Genomic DNA, 26,069 nt, shown 5'->3' with positions numbered 1-26,069 from the left:
TGCCGGGCGGAGACGCTCCTCACTTCCCAAATGGGGTGGCTGCCAGGCGGAGGGGCTCCTCACTTCTCAGATGGGGTGGCTGCCGGGCGGAGGGGCTCCTCACTTCTCAGATGGGGTGGTTGCCAGGCGGAGGGTCTCCTCACTTCTCAGACGGGGCAGCCGGGCAGAGACGCTCCTCATCTCACAGACGGGGTCGCGGCCGGGCAGAGGTGCTCCTCACATCCCAGATGGGGCGGGGGGCAGAGGCACTCCCCACATCTCAGACAATGGGCGGTGGGGCGGAGACGCTCCTCACTTCCTACATGGGATGGCAGCCGGGAAGAGGTGCTCCTCACTTCCTAGATGGGATGGCGGCTGGGCAGAGATGCTCCTCACTTTCCAGACTGGGCAGCCAGGCAGAGGGGCTCCTCACATCCCAGACGGGGTGGTGGCCGGGCAGAGGCTGCAATCTCGGCACTTTGGGAGGCCAAGGCAGGCGGCTGGGAGGTGGAGGTTGTAGCGAGCCGAGATCACGCCACTGCACTCCAGCCTGGGCACAATTGAGCACTGAGTGAACAAGACTCCATCTGCAATCCCGGCACCTCAGGAGGCTGAGGCTGGCGGATCACTCACGGTTAGGAGCTGGAGACCAGCCCAGCCAACCCAGCGAAACCCTGTCTCCACCAAAAAAATACAAAAACCAGTCAGTCGTGGTGGCGCGCGCCTGCAATCGCAGGCACTCGGCAGACTGAGGCAGGAGAATCAGGCAGGGAGGTTGCAGTGAGCCGAGACGGCAGCAGTACAGTCCAGCTTCCGCTCGGCATCAGAGGGAGACTGTGGAAAGAGAGGGAGAGGGAGACTGTGGGGAGAGGGAGAGGGAGAGGGAGAGGGAGAGGGAGAGGGAGAGCTGATGTAGGTATTTCTTGTTATGCACTTCTCTCTTAGTACTACTTTTGCTGTATCCCATAGCTTTTAATATGTTATATTTTCATTTTCATTTCTTTCAAAATTTTTTAATTTCCTTCTTAATTTCTTCATTGGCCCAGTGGTCATTCAGGAGCACATTGTTTATTCTCCATGTATTTGTACAGTTTCCATAGTTTTTCTTGTTACTGATTTCTAGTTTTATGCCCCTGTGATCTGAGAAGATACTTGATAGAATTTTGATATTTTAAAATGTGTTAAGGCCACTTATTTGTTTTTATTTTATTTTAGGTTCAAGGGTACATGTCCAGGTTTGTTATATAGGTAAATTGCATGTCATGGGGGTTTGGTGTACAGATTGTTTCATCACCCAGGTAATAAACATAGTACCTGATAGGTACTTGTTCAGTTCTCATCCTTCTCCCACCCTCCACTCTCACATAAGCCCCAGTGTCTGTTGTTCCCTTCTTTGTGTCCATATATACTCAATGGTTAGCTCCTACTATAAGTGAAAACAGGCAGTATCTTTGTTTTCTGTTCGTGTGTTAGTTTGCTTAGGATAATGGCCTCCAGCTCCATCCATGTTGTTGCAAAGGACATGATCTCATTCTTTTTGATGACTGCATAGTATTCTGGGGTGTGTATGTACCACATTTTCTTTATCCAGTCAATTGTTGATGGACATTTAGGTTGATCTTATGTCTTTGGAATTGTGAATAGTGCTGTGATGGATATATACATGCATGTATCTTTATGGTATAGCAATTTATATTTCTTTAGGTATATACCCAATAATGGGATCACTGAGTCAAATGGTAATACTGCTTTGAGTTCTTTGAAAAATCACCAAACTAAAAAAGAAAAAAAGAAAAAAGAAAAATCACCAAACTTCCTTCCTCAGTGGCTGAACTGACTTACATTTCCACCAGCATTGTATAAGTGTTCCTGTTTCTCTGCAACCTCACCAGTATCTGTTGTTTTTTGACTTTTTGATAATAGCCATTCTGATTGATGTGAGATGGTATCTCATTGTGGTTTGATTTGCATTCCTCTAATGATTAGTGATGCTGAGAATTTTTCCATATGCTTGTTGAAGCTACTTGTTTGGTGGCCTTACATATAATCTATCCTTGAGAATGTTCTATATGCTGCTGAGCAGAATGTGTTCTGCAGCCATTGGATGAAATGTTTGTAAATATCTATTGGGTCTATTTGGCCTGAAGTGCAGTTTAAATCCAATATTTTTTTGTTGATTTTCTAGATGATCTGTCCACTGCTGATAATGGGGTACTGAAGTCCCCAACTAGTATTATTTTGGAGTCTACTGCTCTTCTTAGATATGCTTGTTTTATCTATCTGAGTGTTCTCATGTGGATACATACATATTTAAAATTATTATATCCTCTTGCTGAAGTTATCCCTTTATCAATATATAATATTCTTGTCCTTTTTACTATTTTTGACCTAAATTCTGTTTTATCTGCTACAAATATAGCTACTGCTACTCACTTTTGGTTTCTGTTTGCATGGAATCTTTTTCTATCCCTTCATATTCAGCCTATATGTGTCTTTAAAGGTGAAGTGATATAGGCAGCATATAGTTAGGTTTTTTAATTATTTCAGCCTGTCTATATCTTGTAAGTGAGGAATTTATTCCATTTTCATTCAAAGTTACTATTGATAGATAAGGACTTATTTCTGTCATTTTGTTAACTGTTTTTCACTGTTTTATATATCTTTTGCTTCTTTCATCCTCTTTTATAGTTTATCACTGTCATTGGATGGTTCTCTATAGTGGTAACCTTTGGCTACTTTCTCTTTCTCATCTGTGTATCTGCTCTAAGAGTGAGTATTTTTGTGTGTGTGTTTGCATCATGGTAGATATTGTCCTTTTGCTCCCCCAATTAGAATTCTGTATTAGAGTTATCTAGAGGGACAGAACTAATGGAATACATACATATATATATGAGCTTATTAAGTATTAACTCACATGATCACAAGGTCCCAAAATAGGCCATCTGCAGGTGGAGGAGCAAGGAGAGCCAGTCTGAGATCCAAAACTGAAGAACTTGGAGTTCAATGTTCAAGAGCAGGAAGCATCCAGCACAGCAGAAGGGTGTAGGCTGGGAGGGTAGGCCAGCCTCTCTTTTCACATTTTTCTGCCTGATTCTTATATTGTAGCCATGCTGGCAGCTGATTAGATGGTGTCCACCCAGATTAAGGATGGGTCTGGCTTTCCCAGCCCACTAACACAAATGTTAATCTCCTTTAGCAACACCCTCACAAACACACCCAGGATCAATAATTTGTATTTTTCAATCCAGTCAAGTTGACACTCAGTATTGACCGTCACAGATTCTCTTAAGAATTCCTGGGGGGTGGAGCCAAGATGGTCAAATAGGAAAAGCTCCAGTCTACAGCTCCCAGAGTGAGCGACCCAGAAGATGGGTGATTTCTGCATTTCCAACTGAGGTACCAGGTTCATCTCACTAGGGAGTGCTGGACAGTGGGTGCAGGATAGTGGGTGCAGTGCACTGTGCATGACCCAAAGCAGGGTGAGGCATCACCTCACCCGGGAAGTGCAAGGGGTCAAGGAATTCTCTTTCCTAGTCAAAGAAAAGGGTGACAGATGGCACCTGGAAAATCGGGTCACTCCCACCCTATTACTGTGCTTTTCCAATGGATTTAACAAATGCATACCAGGAGATTATATACCGCCCCTGGCTTGGAGGGTGCTACACCCACAGAGACTCGCTCATTGCTAGCACAGCAGTCTGAGATCAAATGGCAAGGCAGCAGCGAGGCTGGGGGAGGGGCACCCACCATTGCTGAGGCTTGGGTAGGTAAACAAAGCAGCCTGGAGGCTCAAACTGGGTGGAGCCCACCACAGCTCAAGGAGGCCTGCCTGCCTCTGTAGGCTCCACCTCTGGGGGCAGGGCACAAACAGAAGGCAGCAGTAACCTCTGCAGACTTAAATGTCCCTGTCTGACAGCTTTGAAGAGACTAGTGGTTCTCCCAGCATGCAGCTTGAGATCTGAGAATGGAAAGACTGCCTCCTCAAGTGGGTCCCTGACCCCCGAGGAGCCTAACTGGGAGACAAACTCTAGTAGGGGCGGACTGACACCACACGGCCGGGTAATCCTCTGACACAAAACTTCCAGAGGAACGATCAGTCAGCAGCATTTTCAGTTCACCAATATCCGCTGTTCTGCAGCCACCGCTGCTGATACTGAGGCAGATAGGGTCTGAAGTGGACCTCCAGCAAACTCCAACAGACCTGCAGCTGAGGGTCCTGACCGTTAGAAGGAAATCTAACAAACAGAAAGGACATCCACACCAACAACCCATCTGTACGTCACCATCTTCAAACACCAAAGGTAGAGAAAACCACAAAGATGGGGAAAAAACAGAGCAGAAAAACCAGAAACTCTAAAAATCAGAGTGTCTCTCCTCCTGCAAAGGAACACAGCTCCTCAGCAGCAATGGAACAAAGCTGGATGGAGAATGACTTTGAGGAGTTGAGAGAAGAAGGCTTCAGAAGACCAACTACGCCGAGCTAAAGGAGGAAGTTCAAACCAATGACAAAGAAGTTAAAAACTTTGAAAAAAAGTTAGACGAATGGCTAACTAGAATAACCAATGCAGAGAAGTCCTTAAAGGACCTCATGGAGCTGAAAACCACAGCACGAGAACTACATGACAAATGCACAAGCCTCAGTAGCCGATGCGATAAACTGAAAGAAAGGGTATTAGCGATGGAAGATGAAATGAATGAAATGAAGTCAGAAGAGAAGTTTAGAGAAAAAAGAAAAAAAAGAAACCAACAAAGCCTCCAAGAGATAAGTGACTATGTGAAAAGACCAAATCTACGTCTGACTAGTGTACCTGAAAGTGACGGGCAGAATGGAACCAAGTTGGAAAACAGTCTGCAGGATATTATCCAAGAGAACTTTCCCAATCTAGCAAGGCGGGCCAATATTCAAATTCAAGAAATACAGAGAACGCCACAAAGATAATCCTCAAGAAGAGCAACTCCAAGACACATAATTGTCAGATTCATCAAAGTTGAAATGAAGGAAAAAATGATAAGGGCAGCCAGAGAGAAGGATCGGGTTACCCACAAAGGGAAGCCAATCAGACTAACAGCTGATCTCTCAGAAGAAACTCTACAAGCCAGAAGAGAGTGGGGACCAACATTCAACATTCTTAAAGAAAAGAATTTTCAAACCAGGATTTCATATCCAGCCAAACTATGATTCATAAGTGAAGGAGAAGTAAAATCCTTTACAGACAAGCAAATGCTGAGAGATTTTTGTCACCACCAGGCCTGCCCTGAAAGAGCTCCTAAAGGAAGCACTACACAAGTAAAGGAACAACCGGTACCAGCCACTGCAAAAACATGCCAAATTGTAAAGACCATCAAGGCTAGGAAGAAACTGCATTAACTAACGAGCAAAATAACTAGCTAACATCATAATGATAGGATCAAATTCACATATAACAATATTAACCTTAAATGTAAGTAAGCTAAATGCTCCAATTAAAAGACACAGAATGGCAAATTGGATAAAGAGTCAAGACCCACCAGTGTGCTGTATTCAGGAAACCCATCTCACATGCAGAGACACACATAGGCTCAAAATAAAGGGATGGAGGAAGATCTACCAAGCAAATGGAAAACAAAAAAAGGCAGAGGTTGCAATCCTACTCTCAGATAAAACAGACTTTAAACCAACAAAGATCAAAAGAGACAAAGAAGGCCATTACATAATGGTAAAGGGATAAATTCAACGAGATGAGCTACCTATCCTAAATATATATGCACCCAATACAGGAGCACCCAGATTCATAAAACAAGTCCTTAGTGACCTACAAAGAGACTTAGACTCCCACACAATAATGATGGGAGACTTTAACACCCCACTGTCAACATTAGACAGACCAACGAGACAGATATTTAACAAGGATATCCAGGAATTGAATTCAGCTCTGCACCAAGCAGACCTAATAGACATCTACAGAACTCTCCACCCCAAAACAACAGAATATACACTTTTTTCAGCACCACACCACACCTATTCGAAAACTGACCACATAGTTGGAAATGAAGCACTCTTCAGCAAATGTAAAAAACAGAAATTACAACAAACTGTCTCTCAGACCACAGTGCAATCAAACTAGAATTCAGGATTAAGAAACTCACTCAAAACCGCTCAACTACACGGAAACTGAACAACCTGCTCCTGAATGACTACTGGGTACATAATGAACTAAAGGTAGAAATAAAGATGTTCTTTGAAACCAATGAGAACAAAGACACAACATACCAGAATCTCTGGGACACATTCAAAGCAGTGTGTAGAGGGAAATTTATGGCACTAAATGCCCACAGGAGAAAGCAGAAAAGATCCAAAATTGACACCCTAACATCACAATTAAAAGAACTAGAAAAGCAAGAGCAAACACATTCAAAAGCTAGCAGAAGGCAAGAAATAACTAAGATCAGAGCAGAACTGAAGGAAATAGAGACACAAAAAACCCTTCAAAAAATCAATGAATCCATGAGCTGGTTTCTTGAAAAGAGCAACAAAATTCATAGACCGCTAGCAAGACTAATAAAGAGGAAAAGAGAGAAGAATCAAATAGACACGATAAAAAATGACAAAGGGGATATCACCACCGATCCCACAGAAATACAAACTACCATCAGAGAATACTATAAACACCTCTATGCAAATAAACTAGATATTCTAGAAGAAATGGATAAATTCCTGGACATATACACCCTCCCAAGACTAAACCAGGAAGAAGTTGAATCTCTGAATAGACCAATAACAGGATCTGAAATTGTGGCAATAATCAATAGCTTACCAACCAAAAAAAGTCCAGGAACAGGCGGATTCACAGCCTAATTCTACCAGAGGTACAAGGGGTAACTGGTACCATTCCTTCTGAAACTATTTCAATCAATAGAAAAAAAGGGAATCCTCCCTAACTCATTTTATGAGGCCAGCATCATCCTGATACCAAAGCCTGGCAGAGACACAACAAAAAAAAGAGAATTTTAGACCAATATCCTTGATGAACAGTGATGCAAAAAAACTCAGTAAAATACTGGCAAACCAAATCCAGCAGCACATCAAAAAGCTTATCCACCATGATCAAATGGGCTTCATCCCTGGGATGCATGGCTGGTTCAACATACAAAAATCAATAAACGTAATCCAGCATATAAATGGAACCAAAGACAAAAACCACATGATTATCTCAATAGAGGAAGAAAAGTCCTTTGAAAAAATTCAACAACGCTTCATGCTAAAAACTCTCAAAAAATTAGGTATTGATGGGACGTATCTGAAAATAATAAGAGCTATCTATGACAAACCCACAGCCAATATCATAATGAATGGACAAAAACTGGAAGCATTCCCTTTGAAAACTGGCACAAGACAGGGATGCCCCCTCTCACCACTCCTATTCAACATAGCGTTGGAAGTTCTGGCCAGGTAAATCAGGCAGGAGAAGGAAATAAAGGGCATTCAATTAGGAAAAAAGGAAGTCAAATTGTCCCTGTTTGCAGATGACATGATTGTATATCTAGAAAACCCCATTGTCTCAGCCCAAAAATCTCCTTAAGCTGATAAGCAACTTCAGCAAAGTCTCAGGATACAAAATCAATGTGCAAAAATCACAAGCATTCTTATACACCAAAAACACACAGAGAGCCAAATCATGAGTGAACTCCCATTCACAATTGCTTCAAAGAGAATAAAATACCTAGGAATCCAACTTACAAGGGATGTGAAGGACTTCTTCAAGGAGAACTACAAACCACTGCTCAGTGAAATAAAAGAGGATACAAATAAATGGAAGAACATTCCATGCTCATGGGTAGGAAGAATCAATATCGTGAAAATGGCCATACTGCCCAAGGTAATTTATACATTCAATGCCATCCCCATCAAGCTACCAATGACTTTCCTCACAGAATTGGAAAAAGTACTTTAAAGTTCATATGGAACCAAAAAGGAACCCGCATTGCCAAGTCAATCCTAAGCCAAAAGAACAAAGCTGGAGGCATCACGCTACCTGACTTCAAAGTACACTACAAGGCTACAGTAACCAAAACAGCATGGTACTAGTACCAAAACAGAGATATAGATCAATGGAACAGAACAGAGCCCTCAGAAATAATGCTGCATATCTACAACTATCTGATCTTTGACAAACCTGAGAAAAACAAGCAATTGGGAAAGGATTCCCTATTTAATAAATGGTGCTGGGAAAACTGGCTAGCCATATGTAGAAAGCTGAAACTGGAGCCCTTCCTTACAGCTTATACAAAAATTAATTCAAGATGGATTAAAGACTTACATGTTAGACCTAAAACCATAAAAACCCTAGAAGAAAACCTAGGCAATACCATTCAGGACATAGGCATGGGCAAGGACTTCATGTCTAAAACACCAAAAACAATGGCAACAAAAGCCAAAATTGACAAATGGGATCTCATTAAACTAAAGAGCTTCTGCACAGGAAAAGAAACTACCATCAGAGTGAACAGGCAACGTACAGAATGGGAGAAAATTTTTGGCATGTTCTCATCTGACAAAGGGCTAGTATCCAGAATCTACAATGCACTCCAACAAATTTACAAGAAAAAAACAAACAACCCCATCAAAAAATGGGCAAAGGATATGAACAGACACTTCTCAAAAGAAGACATTTATGAAGCCAAAAAGCACATGAAAAAATGCTCATCATCACTGGCCATCGGAGAAATGCAAATCAAAACCACAATGAGATACCATCTCACACCAGTTAGAATGGTGATCATTAAAAAGTCAGGAAACAACAGATGCTGGAGAGGATGTGGAGAAATAGGAACACTTTTACACTGTTGGTTGGACTCTAAACTCGTTCAACCATTGTGGAAGTCAGTTTGGTGATTCCTCAGGGATCTAGAACTAGAAATACCATTTGACCCAGCCATCCCATTACTGGGTATATACCCAAAGGATTATAAATCATGTTGCTGTAAAGACACATGCACATGTATGTTTATTGTGGCACTATTCACAATAGCAAAGACTTGGAACCAACCCAAATATCCATCAATGATAGACTGGATTAAGAAAATGTGGCACATATACACCATGGAATACTATGCAGCCATAAAAAATGATGAGTTCATGTCCTTTGTAGGGACATGGATGAAGCTGGAAACCATCATTCTCAGCAAACTATCGCAAGGACAAAAAACCAAACACCGCATGTTCTCACTCATAGGTAGGAATTGAACAATGAGAACACATGGACACAGGAAGGGGAACATCACACAGCAGGGACAGTTGTGGGGTGGGGGGAGTGGGGAGGGATAGTATTAGGAGAGATACCTAATGGTAAATGACGAGTTAATGGGTGCAGCACACCAACATGGCACATGTATGCATATGTAACAAACCTGCACATTGTGCACATGTACCCTAAAACTTAAAGTATAACAATAATAAAATTAAGAAAAAAAAGAATTCCTTATAAGACCAGTCAAGTAGTAACAAATTCTCTTCATTTTTGCTTGTCTAGAAAAGACTTTATTTCCCTTCTTTTATGAAGGATAACTGTTCTGGGCATAGTATTTTTGCTGGAAGTTTCTTTCAGCACTTTGAATATATCATACCATTCCTTACAGAACTAAAATGTTTCTGCTGAGAAATTCACTGCTAGTCTAATAGAGATTCCCTTATATGTGATTGAACACTTTTCTTTTGCTATGTTTAGAACTGTCTCTTTGTCTATGATTTTTGCCAGTTTGACTACAATGTACCTTAGAGAAGACTTCTAGGATTTGAACTAATTGAAGTTTTTTCAGCTTGCTGTATCTAGATGTCTATATCTCTTTAAGACTTGGGAAGTGTTCAGCTATTTTTTTTTTTTTTGAGACAGTCTCACTCTGTTGCCTGGGCTGGTGTGCAGTGGCATGTTCTCTGCTCACTGCAACCTCCACCTCCTGGGTTCAAGCGATTGTCCTGCCTCAGCCTCCCAACTAGCTGGGATTGCAGGTGCCCGCCACCATGCCTGGCTAATTTTTGTATTTTTAGTAGAGATGGGTTTTCACCATGTTGGCCAGGCTGGTCTCAAACTCCTGGCCTCAAGTGATCTGCCTGCCTCAGTCTCCCAATGTGCTGGTATTACAGGCATGAGCCACTGTGACCAGCCAGCTATTATTTTTTAAAGAGTGTTTTTTATATCTTTGCCCATCTTGCCTTCCAGAACGCCCTGAATTCAAAAATGTGGTCACTTTATGGTATCCTATATGTTATGTAAGCTTTCTTCATTCTTTTTTATGGGTTTTTTTTTTTTTTTTTGTCTAACTGGGTTATTTCAGAATACATCTTAAAGTTCAGAAATTTTTCTGCTGAAGCTCTTGATATATTATTTTAATTTTGTTCATTGAATTCTTCATTTTCAGGATCTCTGTCTTGTTCTTTTTTATTATATCTATTTCTTGTTGAATTTCTCATTCAGATCATCAATTCTGTTTCTGCTTTGTATTATTTATCTGTGTTTTCTTGTATCTCACTGAGTTTCTTTAATATCATTATTATTTTTCAGGTATTTTATAGATTTCCTTTTCCTTAAGATTTCTTTCTTTGGAATAATTGCATTCTTTGGAGGTATGATCTTTCCTTGCTTTTTCATGGTTTTTGTGTGTCATTACATTGATATCTATGCATATTGTGTGACAGTTGTTTCTTTCCTTTTTGTTTTTTGTTTTTGTTTTTGTTTTACTTTTGAGACAGTATCTCACTCTGTGCCCCAGGCTGGAGTGCAGTGGCACAATATCAGCTCAGCGCTACCTCCACCTCCCAGTCTCAAGCAAATCTCCCACCTGAGCCTCACAAGTAGCTGGGACTATAGGCATGGGCCATCACACCCAGCTAATTTTTATATTTTTTCATAGAGATGGGGCTTTGCCATGTCATTCAGGCTGGTCTCGAGCTTCTGAACTCAAGTGATCCACCTGTCTCAACCTCCCAAACTGCTGAAATTAGAGGCATGAGCCATCATGCCCAGTCCTGTTTCTTCCACTTTTATGTAATAGCCTTTGTAGGGAAAGACTTTTTCCTATAGATGTAATTATAGTGTTGGGTGGATAGAGTGCTTTGGCTTTGATTCTGGATGGATGCAGTTTAGTCTCTGTATTATTTCATTGGCTATAATCAGCCTCAGTGGTGTCCATGAGATCTCCAGTGGCTTAGGCTGCAGCTGTTAGTGGAGACTGTAATAAGGTTTTGCTAGGGAGAGGGATTCCAGACAGGCCAGCCCTTGGGCAGCAGTGATGGCAACAATGGTCTGGTCGTGCCATTCCTTGGACCTCCTGTGCAGTGTACATGGGAACTAGTGGTAGTTAATCCAGGCAGGCCAGTCCCTGGGCCTCAAGGCAGTTTGCTTGTGTATTGACCATTGCAGTGATGGGCAGAATGAGCAGGTGGATCCTAAAGCCCCTGGATGATATTCATAGCATCAATAGTAGTAGTAGGGGCATCAGGCAAACCCTTGGATCCTTGAGTGGCACATGTGAGCACCAGCAGTGGCAGCTGTGGACTGGATAGGCCAATCTCCAGGACCCCAGGAATCATATGCAGGTGGGTACCAGCAGCAGTGACAGTGGCAAGCTGGGTGGGTCAGTCCCCAGGCCCTCAGGAAATGCATGCGGCCAGTGGTAGAAGATGTTACATGACCATCCTCAGGCCCCCAGAAGGCATGTGCAGGCCCTGGCACCAACAGGTGGAGTGGATTCTCCCCAGGTCCCTGGATGGCACACTTGAATATCAGTGGCAGTGATGGTGGTGGGGTAGGCCTGTCCTCAGGCCTCTGGATGACACATGTATATACTGGCAGTGGCAGTATATGGGGTGGACATGCCCTTAGGACCCCCAATGGTGCACGTGGATACCAGCTGCAGCAGGCAGGGTAGGCGAATCCCCATCCCTGGAAAATATTCTCAGGAACTAGCAATAGTGACATTGAGGGGACAAGCCTTTCCTCAGGCCACCAGGTGGTGTGCGCAAGAGCTAGTACACCTCACACGGGCCTGTGGTAGGCCCTGGGACAGTTCCTGGGAGGGCTGTTCCCCAGGAACCCTGAAGGACCATGCAGGTGCACAGTGGCCCTTCTGCTGGAGGGAGTCTAGTTTCTATCAGAGTCCACAGCCCAGGCAGGCAGCACTCAGACTCTTAGGAGCACACACCTTTGCTCCCTTAGTCCCAGGGTTGGCATCTCTGGTGCACTGCGCCACCCATTTCCTGGGATGTAGAATACTGCATAGGCTAGAGTGCTGGGAATCCAGCCGCATCACTGAGTCCAGCCAATGTCATGACACTTCAGCCCTCTGGGTGGACATGGGTTGGGGGTGGTCAGCATGGTTCCAGGGATGTGGCAATATCAGAACTATTGGGACTCGGGAGAATGCAGTCTGGTGAGGGCTGGGCTCCTAAAATGGCTCTGTGCTGTAGCTGCTTGTGTCTCAGGGGATGTGTGGGACCCAGGGCAAACTCCCTCTCTGGAACAATGCCATCACATGGACTCCAGGCAGTTCCCCATACTAGTTTCAGGGCCTGTAAGGGCCAAGGGTATCTCCCATGGCTAGGATTTCAGGAGTCTACCTACAGTGGGGATGTGGACTGTTGGGAATCTCTAGCTTACCTTTCCCCACAATGGGGAGTCCCTCCTGGCTTCAAGCCAATCTCAGCCAGGCCAGCTGCTTTGCTTTTTTCTCCTTCCATGCCTCAGAGGGTCCCTGTCCCTTCCCTCCTGAATTCCAGTATTCTTCAATGCTCTATTGGACATGTGATTATCTATTCATGCTTAATTTCTCTTTGTGGAGGAGGCAAGTGCCAGGCATCTCTAGTAAGCCATCTTGAAGCCCCCATCTCGTCTTCTACTTTTGACATAAATAAAGAAGTAACTTGTCAGATAAAATGACTGATTTTTAAGAAAGAACAATAATACAACTATTTCTTAAAGAACTACCTTGATTGAATAATGAATATTCCTGCTTGAGTCCAACACTGTTTATTCCATTATCAAAAATAAAGTTATACATAGGGAATGTCACTTTTACCACAGCATAGAAAGTTTATCACTACCATAATTTGTGACAAGAAATAGTGACTCAACTTCTCTTCAACTTAAAATCTGGGCCTGAACACAGGGTCAGATGCATAACAGATATCAAGTAATATATATGGAATGTTTTAGTTTCCAAGATGGCTGACTGGAAGCATTTCCAGCATGCCTCATCCACTTAGATGAACCAAAATAATGTGTAGACAATCATATTTTGAATATATTATTCAAGATAAAACATAGGAGTTAAACAGAAAAGTGAAAGGAAACTTTAAAATCTAGGAAAAAGAAGGAAAACAGACAGCCCACATGGCTAGGAAAATCTAGGAACCAGAAGTGAATGCCAATACAGGACAGGGTAAGTGCTTTCTGCAATCTACTTTTCCATGAATCCAGGCCACAGGAGAGTACCTTGACTCACCCAGTCCCTGAATCTAAGTTAGGAAGCAGAAGGGAGATTACCAGAGGGAACTGCACAGGAAGTGTCACATGCCTTTTTGAGACCTAACCAGCTACTGTAAGATGTCATTCCTGACCCTAGCTCTTCACAAATTGCACATGGTCCTGGGATCCTGGGAGCCAGTGGTATCACTGTTAGCTGTTAAAAAAAAATCTGGAAGCATTTGCAGAACTGTGGCTTCAGTGGGAGTTGGGATCCCACAACAAGGTCTGAAAAGGGAACATGGGGTGGGCTCCAGCTACTGGTGCTGGAACCAGGCAACTCGCCCCCTGGGACCTATGCAGGAGGACAGTCTCTGCATAGGCTTGGTGTTGGGCTGGGCAGCAGCTCCTATGGTGCAAACTCCTGGGATTAACTGAATAGCTGTGTTGGCTGAGACAACCAATATGGGGAAGGGAAATTCACCAGGACTAAGGCATGAGGGTGACACAAGTCCCACTTCTGCCAATCAAAGCTTTGGCTGCTGGGACCACACTCCCCCTCCCCATGCTAAGACCTCAGTACAGCAGCTATGGTCCCTCACCCAAGCATTTCATCAAGGCTGATGTATACACTCACTACTGAAGGGCCTGAGCACAACATTGCCCACTTCATTGTCCAGCCTTGCCATGCCCTTCACAAGACAGAGCACGGAATCCAGGCTTCTAGATGTTCCACAACACAATTTGCCACCTGGGATGCCCAAGCACTTTTCCTGAGGAACAAAAATGAGCATAAACATTATACCACTACCACCACAGCTGGATCTTGCCTAAAAGTGCCATCTACTGGTCTGGAGATCAACTCATACAGTCCATTGCAATCACTGCTGCTAACACAAGAGCACAGCACTCAAGACTTTGAGGAACACATCACAATCACTGCTACTGCCATTGCCCATAAACAGGCTGCTCAGAAGCCTATGGTTGATTTTCTGCTGTCCCATCCCATATACTGCTAACAACTGACATCAGAGAAAGTCATCCAGAGGCCCAACCACAGCCTGCTTGAATTGCAAACACACATGCCAGCATATGCTGCTCCAGGTAGTAAGGATAAACACATTAACCCACCACTCCTACCACTAAAACCTGAAGATGGACACATCTAGCATTCCAGTCCCTGATAATTTTACCACAGCCCCACAAACAAATATACTGTAACACATAAAGGAAAACACAGATTGGACTAACACTATTTATAGCCTAAGAAATCATACAGACTCTTCACCACTGTATGCACTCAGAAGAAAAATCAAAGACTTCCACCAAACAAACCCTATAGTCACAAGTTTAAGAAAAAAAGTCTCCTTCCCAAAAAAAGTAAATTCAAAAATAAGAAGAAGCTACTTTTTCTCCTAATGCACAAAAATCAATGTTAAAAAAAACAGGAAACATGCAAAAGCAAGGTAATATAACATCTTCAAAGAAACACAATAATTCTTCCACACCATATCCTAACCCAAAAGAAATCCTCAGTATGCCACATAAAGAATTCAAAATCTTTTTCTTTTTTTCTTTTTTTGTTAATAATTCAAAATACTGATTTTAAAGAAGCTCATTGAGATGCAAGACAAACCTGAAAAACAAAGAACTCAAAAAATCAGTCTAGGAAGTGAACAAGAAATTTACCAAGGAGATAGATTTTTTTTTTTAAAGAACCAAACAAAAACAGTGGAACTGAAAAACTCACTGAAGGAAATACCAAATACATTATTTAAAAGCTTTAATGATAATAGGCTAAATCAAGCAGAAAAAAACTTTTTCAGAAGTTAAACATAGGTCTTTTTAAAAAAACTTTTATTTTAGATTTAGGGATACATGTACAGATTTGTCATATAAGTAAATCACATGTCATAGGTGCTTGGTGTACAGATTATTTTGTCAACCAGGTAAGAGATATAGTACTCAATAGGTAGTTTTTTTTTATCTTCACTCTCCTCCGACTCTTCACCCTCAAGTAGGCCCCAGTGTCTTTTGTTCCCTTCTTCATGCCCATGTGTACTCAATATTTATCCCACTTATAAGTGAGAACATGTAGTATTTTGTTTTCCGTTCCTGTGTTAGTTTGCTTAGGATAATGGTCTCCAGCTTTATCCATGTTGCTGCAAAGAACATGATTTTATTCCTTTTTGTAACTGCAGAGTATTCAGTGGTATATATGTACCACATTTTCTTTATCTAGTCTACCATTGATGAGAATTTACATTGACTCCAAAAAAAAAAAAAAACAGATCTTTCGAAAAAAATCAAGTGAGACAAAAATAAAAAAGAAGAAAGAATAAGCAAAGACTACCCAAGAAAAGAGGAGAGAAGACCCAAGTAAAACTAGAGATGAAAAAGGAGACATTACAATTGATACCTATGCCAAAACCAGACAAGGACACAACAAAAAAAAATCCAGACCAATATCCCTGATGAATATATAAGCATAAATATTCAACAAAATACTAGCAAACTAAATTCAATAGCACATCAAGAAGATAATACACTACAATCAAGTGGGTTTTATATTATGGATGCAAGGATAGTTATGCATATGCAAATAAACAAATGTAATACATCTCAATATGATCATTTCAATAGATGCATAAAAAGCTTATGATAAAACTCAACGTACATTTATAATAAATACCCTCAACAAACTAGGAATAGAATGAACATACCTCAAGATATTAAAGGCTATAAAATCACAAAACCTCAGTTAGCATCATACTGAAAGGGAGAAAGCTGAAGGCATTTTCTCTAAGAACCAGAAGAAGACAAGGACACCCACGCTTATTCAACATAGTAGTAGAAGAACTTAGATAAGCAATTAGGCAAAAGAAAGAAATAAAAGGCACCCAAATTGGAAATTAGGAGGTCAAATTATCACTGTTCGCTGATGATACAATCTTATAGCTACAAAAAGCTAAGGACTCCACCAAAAATATTTTGGACTTGATGAATGAATTCAGTAAAGTTTCAGGATAAAAAATTGATGTACAAAAATAGTAGTGCTTTTATGCACCAATAATAATCTAGACAATAATGAAATTAAGAAGGCAATCCCATTTACATAACAAAAAAAATACCTAGGAATACATTTAATCAAAGAGGCAAAAGATCTCTACAAGGAAAACTACAAAATACTGATGAAATAAATTGTAGACGACACAAAGAAATGAGAAAAAATCCCATGCTAATTAATTGAAAGAATTAATATTATTAAAATGACAATACTTCCCAAAGCAATCCTTTTTTATTATTATTACTGTTATGCTTTAAGTTTTAGGGTACATGTGCATAATGTGCAGGTTGGTTACATATGTATACATGTGCCATGTTGGTGTGCTGCACCCATTAACTCATCATTTACCATTAGGTATCTCTCCTAATGCTATCCCTCCCTGCTCCTCCCAACCCACAACAGTCCCCGGTGTGTGATGTTCCCCTTCCAGTGTCCGTGTGTTCTCATTGTTCAATTTCCACTTATGAGTGAGAACATGTGGTGTTTGGTTTTTGTCCTTGCGATAGTTTGCTGAGAATGATGGTTTCCAGCTTCATCCATGTCCCTACAAAGGACATGAACTCATCATTTTTTATGGCTGCATAGTATTCCATGGTGTATATCTGCCACATTTTCTTAATCCAGTCTATCACTGGTGGACATTTGGGTTGGTTCCAAGTCTTTGCTATTGTGAATAGTGCCACAATAAACATACCTGTGCATGTGTCTTTACAGCAGCATGATTTATAATCCTTTGGGTATATACCCAGTAATGGGATGACTGGGTCAAATGGTATTTCTAGTTCTAGATCTGTGAGGAATTTCCACACTGACTTCCACAATGCTTGAACTAGTTTACAATCCAATCAACAGTGCAAAAGTGTTCCTATTTCTCCACATTCTCTCCAGCACCTATTGTTTCCTGACTTTTTAATGATCACCATTCTAACTGGTGTGAGATGGTATCTCATTGTGGTTTTGATTTGCATTTCTCTGATGGCCAGTGATGATGAGCATTTTTTCATGTGTTTTTCGGCTGCATAAATGTCTTCTTTTGAGAAGTGTTTGTTCATATCCTTCGCCCACTTTTTGATGGGGTTGTTTGTTTTTTTCTTGTAAATTTGTTGGAGTTCATTGTAGATTCTGGATACTAGCCCTTTGTCAGATGAGTATGTGGCAAAAATTTTCTCCCATTCTATAGGTTCCCTGTCCACTCTGATGGTAGTTTCCTTTGCTGTGCAGAAGCTCTTTAGTTTAATGAGATCCCATTTGTCAATTTTGGCTTTTGTTGCCATTGCTTTTGGTGTTTTAGACATGAAGTCCTTGCCCATGCCTATGTCCTGAATGGTATTGCATAGGTTTTCTTCTAGGGTTTTTATGGTTTTAGGTGTAACATGTAAGTCTTTAATCCATCTCGAATTAGTTTTTGTATAAGCTGTAAGGAAGGGATCCAGTTTCAGCTTTCTACATATGGCTAGTCAGTTTTCCCAGCAGCATTTATTAAATAGGGAATCCTTTCCCAATTGCTTGTTTTTGTCAGGTTTGTCAAAGATCAGATAGTTTTAGATATGCAGCATTATTTCTGAGGTCTCTGTTCTGTTCCATTGGTCTATAGCTCTCTTTTGGTACAAGTACCATGCTGTTTTGGTTACTGCAGCCTTGTAGTATAGTTTGAAGTCAGGTAGTGTGGTGCCTCCAGCTTTTTTCTTTTGGCTTAGGATTGACTTGGCAATGCAGGCTCTTTTTGGTTCCACATGAACTTTAAAGTAGTTTTTTCCAATTCTGTGAAGAAAGTCATTGGTAGCTTGATGTGGATGGCATTGACTCTATAAATTACCTTGGGCAGTATGGCCATTTTCACAATATTGATTCTTCCTACCCATGAGCATGGAATGTTCTTCCATTTGTTTGTATCCTCTTTTATTTCATTGAGCAGTGGTTTTTAGTTCTTGAAGAGGTCCTTCACATCTCTGGTAAGTTGGATTCCTAGGTATTTTATTCTCTTTGAAGCAATTGGGAATGGGAGTTCACTCATGATTTGGCTGTTTGTATGTTATTGGTGTATAAGAATGCTTGTGATTTTTGCACATTGATTTTGTATCCTGAGACTTTGCTGAAGTTGCTTATCAGCTTAAGGAGATTTTGGGCTGAGACAATGGGGTTTTCTAGATACGCAATCATGTCATCTGCAAACAGGGACAATTTGCCTTCCTCTTTTCCTAATTGAATGCCCTTTATTTCCTTCTCCTGCCTGATTGCCCTGGTCAGAACTTCCAACACTATGTTGAATAGGAGTGGTGAGAGAGGACATCCCTGTCTTGTGCCAGTCTTCAAAGGGAATGCTTCCAGTTTTTGCCCATTCAGTATGATATTGGCTGTGGGTTTGTCATAGATAGCTCTTATTATTTTCAGATACGTCCCATCAATACCTAATTTATTGAGAGTTTTTAGCATGAAGGTTTCTGAATTTTGTCAAAGGACTTTTCTGCATCTATTGAGATAATCATGCGGTTTTTGTCTTTGGTTCTGTTTATATGCTGGATTATGTTTATTGATTTTCATATGTTGAACCAGCCTTGCATCCCAGGGATGAAGCCCACTTGATCACGGTGGATAAGCTTTTTGATGTGCTGCTGGATTTGGTTTGCCGGTATTTTATTGAGGATTTTTGCATCAATGTTCATCAAGGATATTGGTCTAAAATTCTTTTTTGTTGTTGTTGTGTCTCTGCCAGGCTTTGGTATCAGGATGATGCTGGCCTTATAAAATGAGTTGGGGAGGATTCCCTCTTTTTCTATTGATTGGAATAGTTTCAGAAGGAGTGGTACCAGCTCCTCCTTGTACCTCTGGTAGAATTCAGCTGTGAATCCATCAGGTCCTGGACTTTTTTTGGTTGGTAAGCTATTAATTATTGCCTCAATTTCAGAGCCTGTAATTCGTTTATTCAGAGATTCAACTTCTTGCTGGATTAGTCTTGGGAGGGTGTATGTGTCGAGGAATTTATCCATTTCTTCTAGATTTTCTAGTTTATTTGTGTAGAGGTGTTTATAGTATTCTCTGATGGTAGTTTGTATTTCCATGGGATCGATGGTGATATCCCCTTTGTCATTTTTTATTGCATCTATTTGATTCTTCTCTCTTTTCTTCTTTATTAGTCTTGCTAGCAGTCTATCAATTTTGTTGCTCTTTTCAAGAAACCAGCTCATGGATTCATTGATTTTTTTGAAGGGTTTTTTCATCTCTATTTCCTTCAGTTCTGCTCTGATCTTAGTTATTTCTTGCCTTCTGCTAGCTTTTGAATGTGTTTGCTCTTGCTTCTCTAGTTCTTTTAACTGTGATGTTAGCATGTCCATTTTAGATCTTTCCTGCTTTCTCTAGTGGGCATTTAGTGCTATAAATTTCCCTCTACATACTGCATTGAATGTGTCCCAGAGATTCTGGTATGCTGTGTCTTTGTTCTCGTTGGTTTCGAAGAACATCCTTATTTCTGCCTTCTTTTCGTTATGTACCCAGTAGTCACTCAGGAGCAGGTTGTTTAGTTTCCATGTAGTTGAGCAGTTTTGAATGAGTTTCTTAATCCTGAATTCTAGTTTGATTGCACTGTGGTCTGAGAGACAGTTTGTTATAATTTCTGTTCTTTACATTTGCTGAGGAGTGCTTTACTTCCAACTGTGTGGTCAATTTTGGAATAGGTGTGATATGGTGCTGAAAAGAATGTATATTCTGTTGATTTGGGGTGGAGAGTTCTGTAGATGTCTATTAGGTCTGCTTGGTGCAGAGCTGAGTTCAATTCCTGGATATCCTTGTTAACTTTCTGTCTCGGTGATCTGTCTAATGTTGACAGTGGGGTGTTAAAGTCTTCCATTATTATTGTATGGGAGTCTAAGTCTCTTTGTAGGTCACTAAAGACTTGTTTTGTGAATCTGGGTGCTCCTGTATTGGGTGCATATATATTTAGGATAGTTAGCTCTTCTTGTTGTACTGATCCCTTTACCATTATGTAATGGTGTTGTCTCTTTTGATGTTTGTTGGTTTAAAGTCTGTTTTATCCGAGAGTAGGATTGCAACTCCTGCCTTTTTTTGTTTTCCATTTGCTTGGTAGATCTGCCTCCATCCCTTTATTTTGAGCCTATGTGTGTCTCTGCATGTGAGATGGGTTTCCTGAATACAGCACACTGATGGGTCTTGACTCTTTATCCAATTTGCCATTCTGGGTCTTTTAACTGGAGGATTTAGCCCAATTACACTTAAGGTTAATATTGTTATGTGTGAAATTGATCCTGTCACTATGAGGTTAGCTGGTTATTTTGCTCATTAGTTGATGCAGTTTATTCCTAGGCTTGATGGTCTTTACAATTTGGTATGTTTTTGTAGTGGCTGGTACCGGTTGTTTCTTTCCATGTTTAGTGCTTCCTTCAGGAGCTCTTTTAGGGCAGGCTTGGTTGTGCCAAAATCTGTCAGCATTTGCTTGTCTGCAAATTATTTTATTTCTCCTTCACTTATGAAGCTTAGTTTGGCTGTATATGAAATTCTGGGTTGAAAATTCTTTTCTTTAAGAATGTTGAATATTGGCCTTCACTCTCTTCTGGCTAGTAGAGTTTCTTCTGAGAGATCAGCTGTTAATCTGATGGGCTTCCCCTTGTGGGTAACCCGACCCTTCTCTCTGGATGCCCTTAACATTTTTTCCTTCATTTCAACTTTGGTGAATCTGACAATTATGTGTTTTTGGAGTTGCTCTTCTCGAGGATTATCTTTGTGGCGTTCTCTGTATTTCCTGAATTTGAATGTTGGCCTGCCTTGCTAGATTGGGGAAGTTCTCCTAGATAATATCCTGCAGACTGTTTTCCTACTTGTTTCCATTCTCCCTGTCACTTTCAGGTACACCAATCAGACGTGGATTTGGTCTTTTCACATAGTCCCATATTTCTTGGAGGCTTTGTTGGTTTCTTTATATTTTTTTGCTCTAAACTTCTCTTCTCACTTCATTTCATTCCTTTCATCTTCCATCACTGATACCCTTTCTTCCAGTTTATCGCATCAGCTATTGAGCCTTCTGCATTTGTCATGTAGTTCTCATGCTGTGGTTTTCAGCTCCATGAGGTTCTTTAAGGACTTCTCTGCATCGGTTATTCTAGTTAGCCATTCGTCTAATTTTTTTTCAAGGTTTTTAACTTCTTTGTCATTGGTTTGAACTTCCTCCTTTAGCTCAGAGTAGTTTGGTCTTCTGAAACCTTCTTCTCTCAACTCCTCAAAGTCATTCTCCATCCAGCTTTGTTCCATTGCTGCTGAGGAGCTGCGTTCCTTTGCAGGAGGAGAGGCACTCTGATTTTTAGAGTTTCTGGTTTTTCTGCTCTGTTTTTTCCCCATCTTTGTGGTTTTCTCTACCTTTGGTCTTTGAAGATGGTGACGTACAGATGGGTTGTTGGTGTGGATGTCCTTTCTGTTTCTTAGATTTCCTTCTAACGGTCAGGACCTTCAGCTGCAGGTCTGTTGGAGTTTGCTGGAAGTCCACTCCAGACCCTATTTGCCTCAGTATCAGCAGCGGTGGCTGCAGTACAGCAGATATTGGTGAACCGCAAATGCTGCTGCCTGATCATTCCTCTGGAAGTTTTGTGTCAGAGGAGTACCCAGTCGTGTGAAGTGTCAGTCTGCCCCTACTGGGCAGTGTCTCCCAGTTAGGCTACTCGGGGGTCAGGGACCCACTTGAGGAGGCAGTCTGCCCATTCTCAGATCTCAAGCTGTGTGCTGGGAGAACCGCTACTCTCTTCAAAGCTGTCAGAGACAGACATTTAAGTCTGCAGAGGTTACTGCTGCCTTTTGTTTGTCTGTGCCCTGCCCCCAGAGGTGGAGCCTACAGAGGCAGGCAGGCCTCCTTGAGCTGTGGTGGGCTCCACTGAGTTCGAGCTTCCAGGCTGCTTTGTTTACCTACTCAAGCCTCAGCAATGGTGGGTGCCCCTCCCCCAGCCTCACTGCTGCCTTGCAGTTTGATTTCAGACTGCTGTGCTAGCAATGAGCGAGCCTCTGTTGGCATAGGGCTCTCCGAGCCAGGTGCAGGATATAATCTCCTGGTGTGCCGTTTGTTAAGCCCATTGGAAGAGCACAGTATTAGTGTGGGAGTGCCCCAATTTTCCAAGTGCCGTCTGTCACCCCTTTCTTTGACTAGGAAAGGGAATTCCCTGACCCCTTGCACTTCCTGGGTGAGGCGATGCCTCACCCTGCTGTGGCTCATGCATGGTGCGCTGCACCCAGTGTCCTGCACCCACTGTCCAGCACTCCCCAGTGATATGAACCTGGTACCTCAGTTGGAAATACATAAATCACCTGTCTTCTGCATCGCTCACCTGCCCAAAGCAATCTACAGATTAAATGCAGTTCCTATCAGAACATCAACCTCATTTGTCATATAATCAGAAAAAACCATCTTAAAATGTATATGGAACACAAAATGAACCCAAATAACCCAAGCAATCCTAAGCAAGAACAAAGCTGGGGGCATCACAATACCTCACTTCAAATTATATCATAAGGCCATAGTAACCAAAACAACATGATGCTGGTATAAAAATAGACACATAGATCACTGCAACAGAATGAAGAACCCAGAAACAAAACCACATATTTATAGCCAACTGACCATTGACAAAGCTGACAAGAACATACATTATGAAAAGATCTCCTTTTTAATTTTAATAAATAGTGCTATCAAAATGGTATTGCCATATGCAGAAAAATGAAATTAGACCTGTATCTGTCATTATTTACAAAAATTAACTCAAGGTGAATTAAAGTCTTAAATATAATAATGAAAGCTATAAAAGTACAAGAAGAAAACCTAGGCAAAGCTCTTCTGGACATTAGCCTAGGCAAAGAATTTATGACTAAAACCTTAAAAGCACAGACAATAAAAACAAAAGAAACAAATGGAACATAATTAAACTAAAAACTTCTGCACAGCAAAAGATATAATCAACAGAGGGAGCAGACAACATGCAAAATAGAAGAAAATATTTGCAAACTATGCATCCAACAAGAAACTGATACACATAATTTACAAAGCTCTCAAACAACTACAAAAACAACCACCAAAAAAACACCAATTAATCCCATTAAAAAGTGGGCAAAAGACATGAATAGACATTTTTCAAAAGAAGACATACAAATGGTCAGAAGGTGTATGAAAAAATTCCCAGCATCACTAATTATCAGAGAAATGCAAACCAAAACCACAGTGTATTATCATCTTAGCCCAGTGAGAATGGCTATTACTTTTTTAACTTTTATTTTAGGTTTGCAATACATGTGAAGCTTTGTTGCACAGGTAAACTCACGTCATGGTGGTTTGTTATACAGACTATTTTAGCACCTGAGTATTAAGCCCAGTACCCAATAGTCATATTTTCTGCTCCTCTCCCTTCTCCCACCCTCTACCCTCAAGTAAACCACAGTATCTGTTGTTTCCTTCTTTGTGTTCATGGGTTATTATCTAGCTCCCACTTATAAGTGAGAACATGTGGTATTTGGTTTTCTGATCCTGACTTAGTTTGCTAAGGATAATAGCCTCCAGCTCCAACCATGTTCCCACACAAAAAAAATTCTTTCTTTTTTATGGCTGCATAGTATTCCATGGTGTGTATATACTACATTTTCTTCATCAAATCTGTCATTGATGGGCATTTAGGTTGATTCCATGTATTTGCTATTGTGAATAGTGCTGCAATGAACAGTCATGTGCATGTGTCTTTGTGGTAGAATTGTTTATATTCCTCTGGATATATACCCAGTAATGGAATTGCAGAGTCAAATGACAGTTCTGCTTTAACTCTTTTAGGAATCATCACACTGCTTTCCACAGTGGCTGAACTAATTTACATTCCCACCAACAGTGTATGAAAATTCCCTTTTCTCTGAAACATTGCTAGCATCTGTTATTTTTTGACTTTTTAATAATAGCCATTCTGACTGATGTAAGATGGTATCTCATTGTTGCTTTGATTTGCATCAGAATGGCTATTACTAAAAAGATAGAAAATAACAGACATTGACAAGGGTGCAGAGAAAAGGAAATTCTTGTACACTGTTGGTAGGAGTGTAGATTACTACAATCTTTATGGAAATATGTAGATTAGTATAATCTCTATGGAAAACAGTATGGATATTTTGCAAGAATTAAAAATAGAATTACCATTCAATTCAGGAATCTCACTACTGAATATCTACCCAAAGGAAAAGAAATCAATTTATCAATAAGATACCTGCACCTGTATGTTTATCACAGCACTATTCACAATAACAAAGATATGTAATCAACCTAAGTGTCCATCAACAAATGGATAAAGAAAATGTGGTGTATATATACATAATGAAATACTATTTGGTAATAAAAAAGAATGAAATCATGTCATTTGCAGCAACACGGATGGAATTGGAGGTCATTATCTTAAGTAAAACTAGCCAGACACAATATCATGTGTTCTCACTCATAAATGGCTGCTAAAAAATGTGTACACATGGATGTAGAGAGTGGAATGATAGAAAATGGAGACTCAGAAGGGTGAGGTGGGAGTGAGGCAGAGGATGAGAAATTACTTAATGGATACAATGTATATTATTCAGATAATGGATACCCAAAAAGCCCTGACCTGACCATTATGTGATCTATGTATGCAAAGAAATTGCACTTGTACTTTATAAATTTAATAAATTTTTTGAAAACACATAAAAAATTAATACATATTAAAGTAAATAATAAATGGACAAACACATTTAGATCAAAACACTAAAGTTTTAATACCATATAAGCTTCCTGGCCTGTTAGCTAAGATCAAGTGTAGTATCTGTTCTTATCAGTTTAAATACCATATAAGATTATATATAATGGTGTCAAGTAGTTGGTGATAATTCCTTATAGTTACATAGTGCCTTATCACTAATATAAGTATTTCACAAATACTCAAATACTGTTTGATACATTCAATGAAGCATATTATGCTCACAGATGAGAAAATGGAGGACTTGAAAAATTAACCCTATCAACCCAGGACACACAGTTAACAAATTACAAGCCAGGAGTCTCATTAATTAAAGTGACTGTGCATCCTGGTTTGCCTTGAAGATTTTCAGTTTATGCCTATTACTGCAAAATAATTAACAAACTCATTTTTCCATTCAAAAGTGTCCAACATGGACAATAACTTAAGTGGCCATCCTATACTTTGATCATCTCCTAGTAAGTCTACCAGACTTTCTTCTACAGGAGCTCAGAAAAGAGAGTGATGCCTGTGAGTAGAGATGGCCAAAGAAGACTTTACCAAGGAAGAACTCAAGAAGGAACCTGGGAAACAATAAAAATTAAGAAAAATGGAGAACAATGAGGAAGGCATATCAGAAAGAAGAACTGGAGTGAACAAAAACTATAAGCTAAGAGTCTTAAATGTACTATGAAATCCACAGAAGAATTTCAAGCAAGAAAGCAATATAAGCAGATTTGTGTTTTTTTAAAAACATCCTAGCAGCAACATAGAGAATGAAATCAAAGATGTAAAAATGGAGACAAAGTAACCCAGATATAATGGGAAGAACGTCTGGAGTATCTTCAGATGTATTTTCTC

The 26,069-nt window shown here is 40.6% G+C and overlaps 1 pseudogene, besides 1 other annotated feature; it reads left to right on the top strand.

Annotated features, from left to right (window-relative positions):
* Nucleotides 653-1,191: an enhancer, noted in NCBI's record as "H3K27ac hESC enhancer chr6:86547322-86547860 (GRCh37/hg19 assembly coordinates)". NCBI's record gives its function as "activates a minimal SCP1, AML or CMV promoter by ChIP-STARR-seq in primed H9 embryonic stem cells {active_cell/tissue: H9 hESC(primed)}" and the evidence as "EXISTENCE:reporter gene assay evidence [ECO:0000049][PMID:30033119]".
* Nucleotides 25,257-25,424, top strand: LOC124901557 (uncharacterized; annotated as a pseudogene).
* Nucleotides 25,425-26,069: the final 645 nt, after the last annotated feature.

This window comes from Homo sapiens, chromosome 6 (genome assembly GCF_000001405.40).
Source record: "Homo sapiens chromosome 6, GRCh38.p14 Primary Assembly".
Classification (NCBI taxonomy): domain Eukaryota; kingdom Metazoa; phylum Chordata; class Mammalia; order Primates; family Hominidae; genus Homo; species Homo sapiens.
The sequence above is the reverse complement of the archived record's forward strand: the minus strand, read 5'-3'. Positions and strand labels throughout refer to the sequence as shown.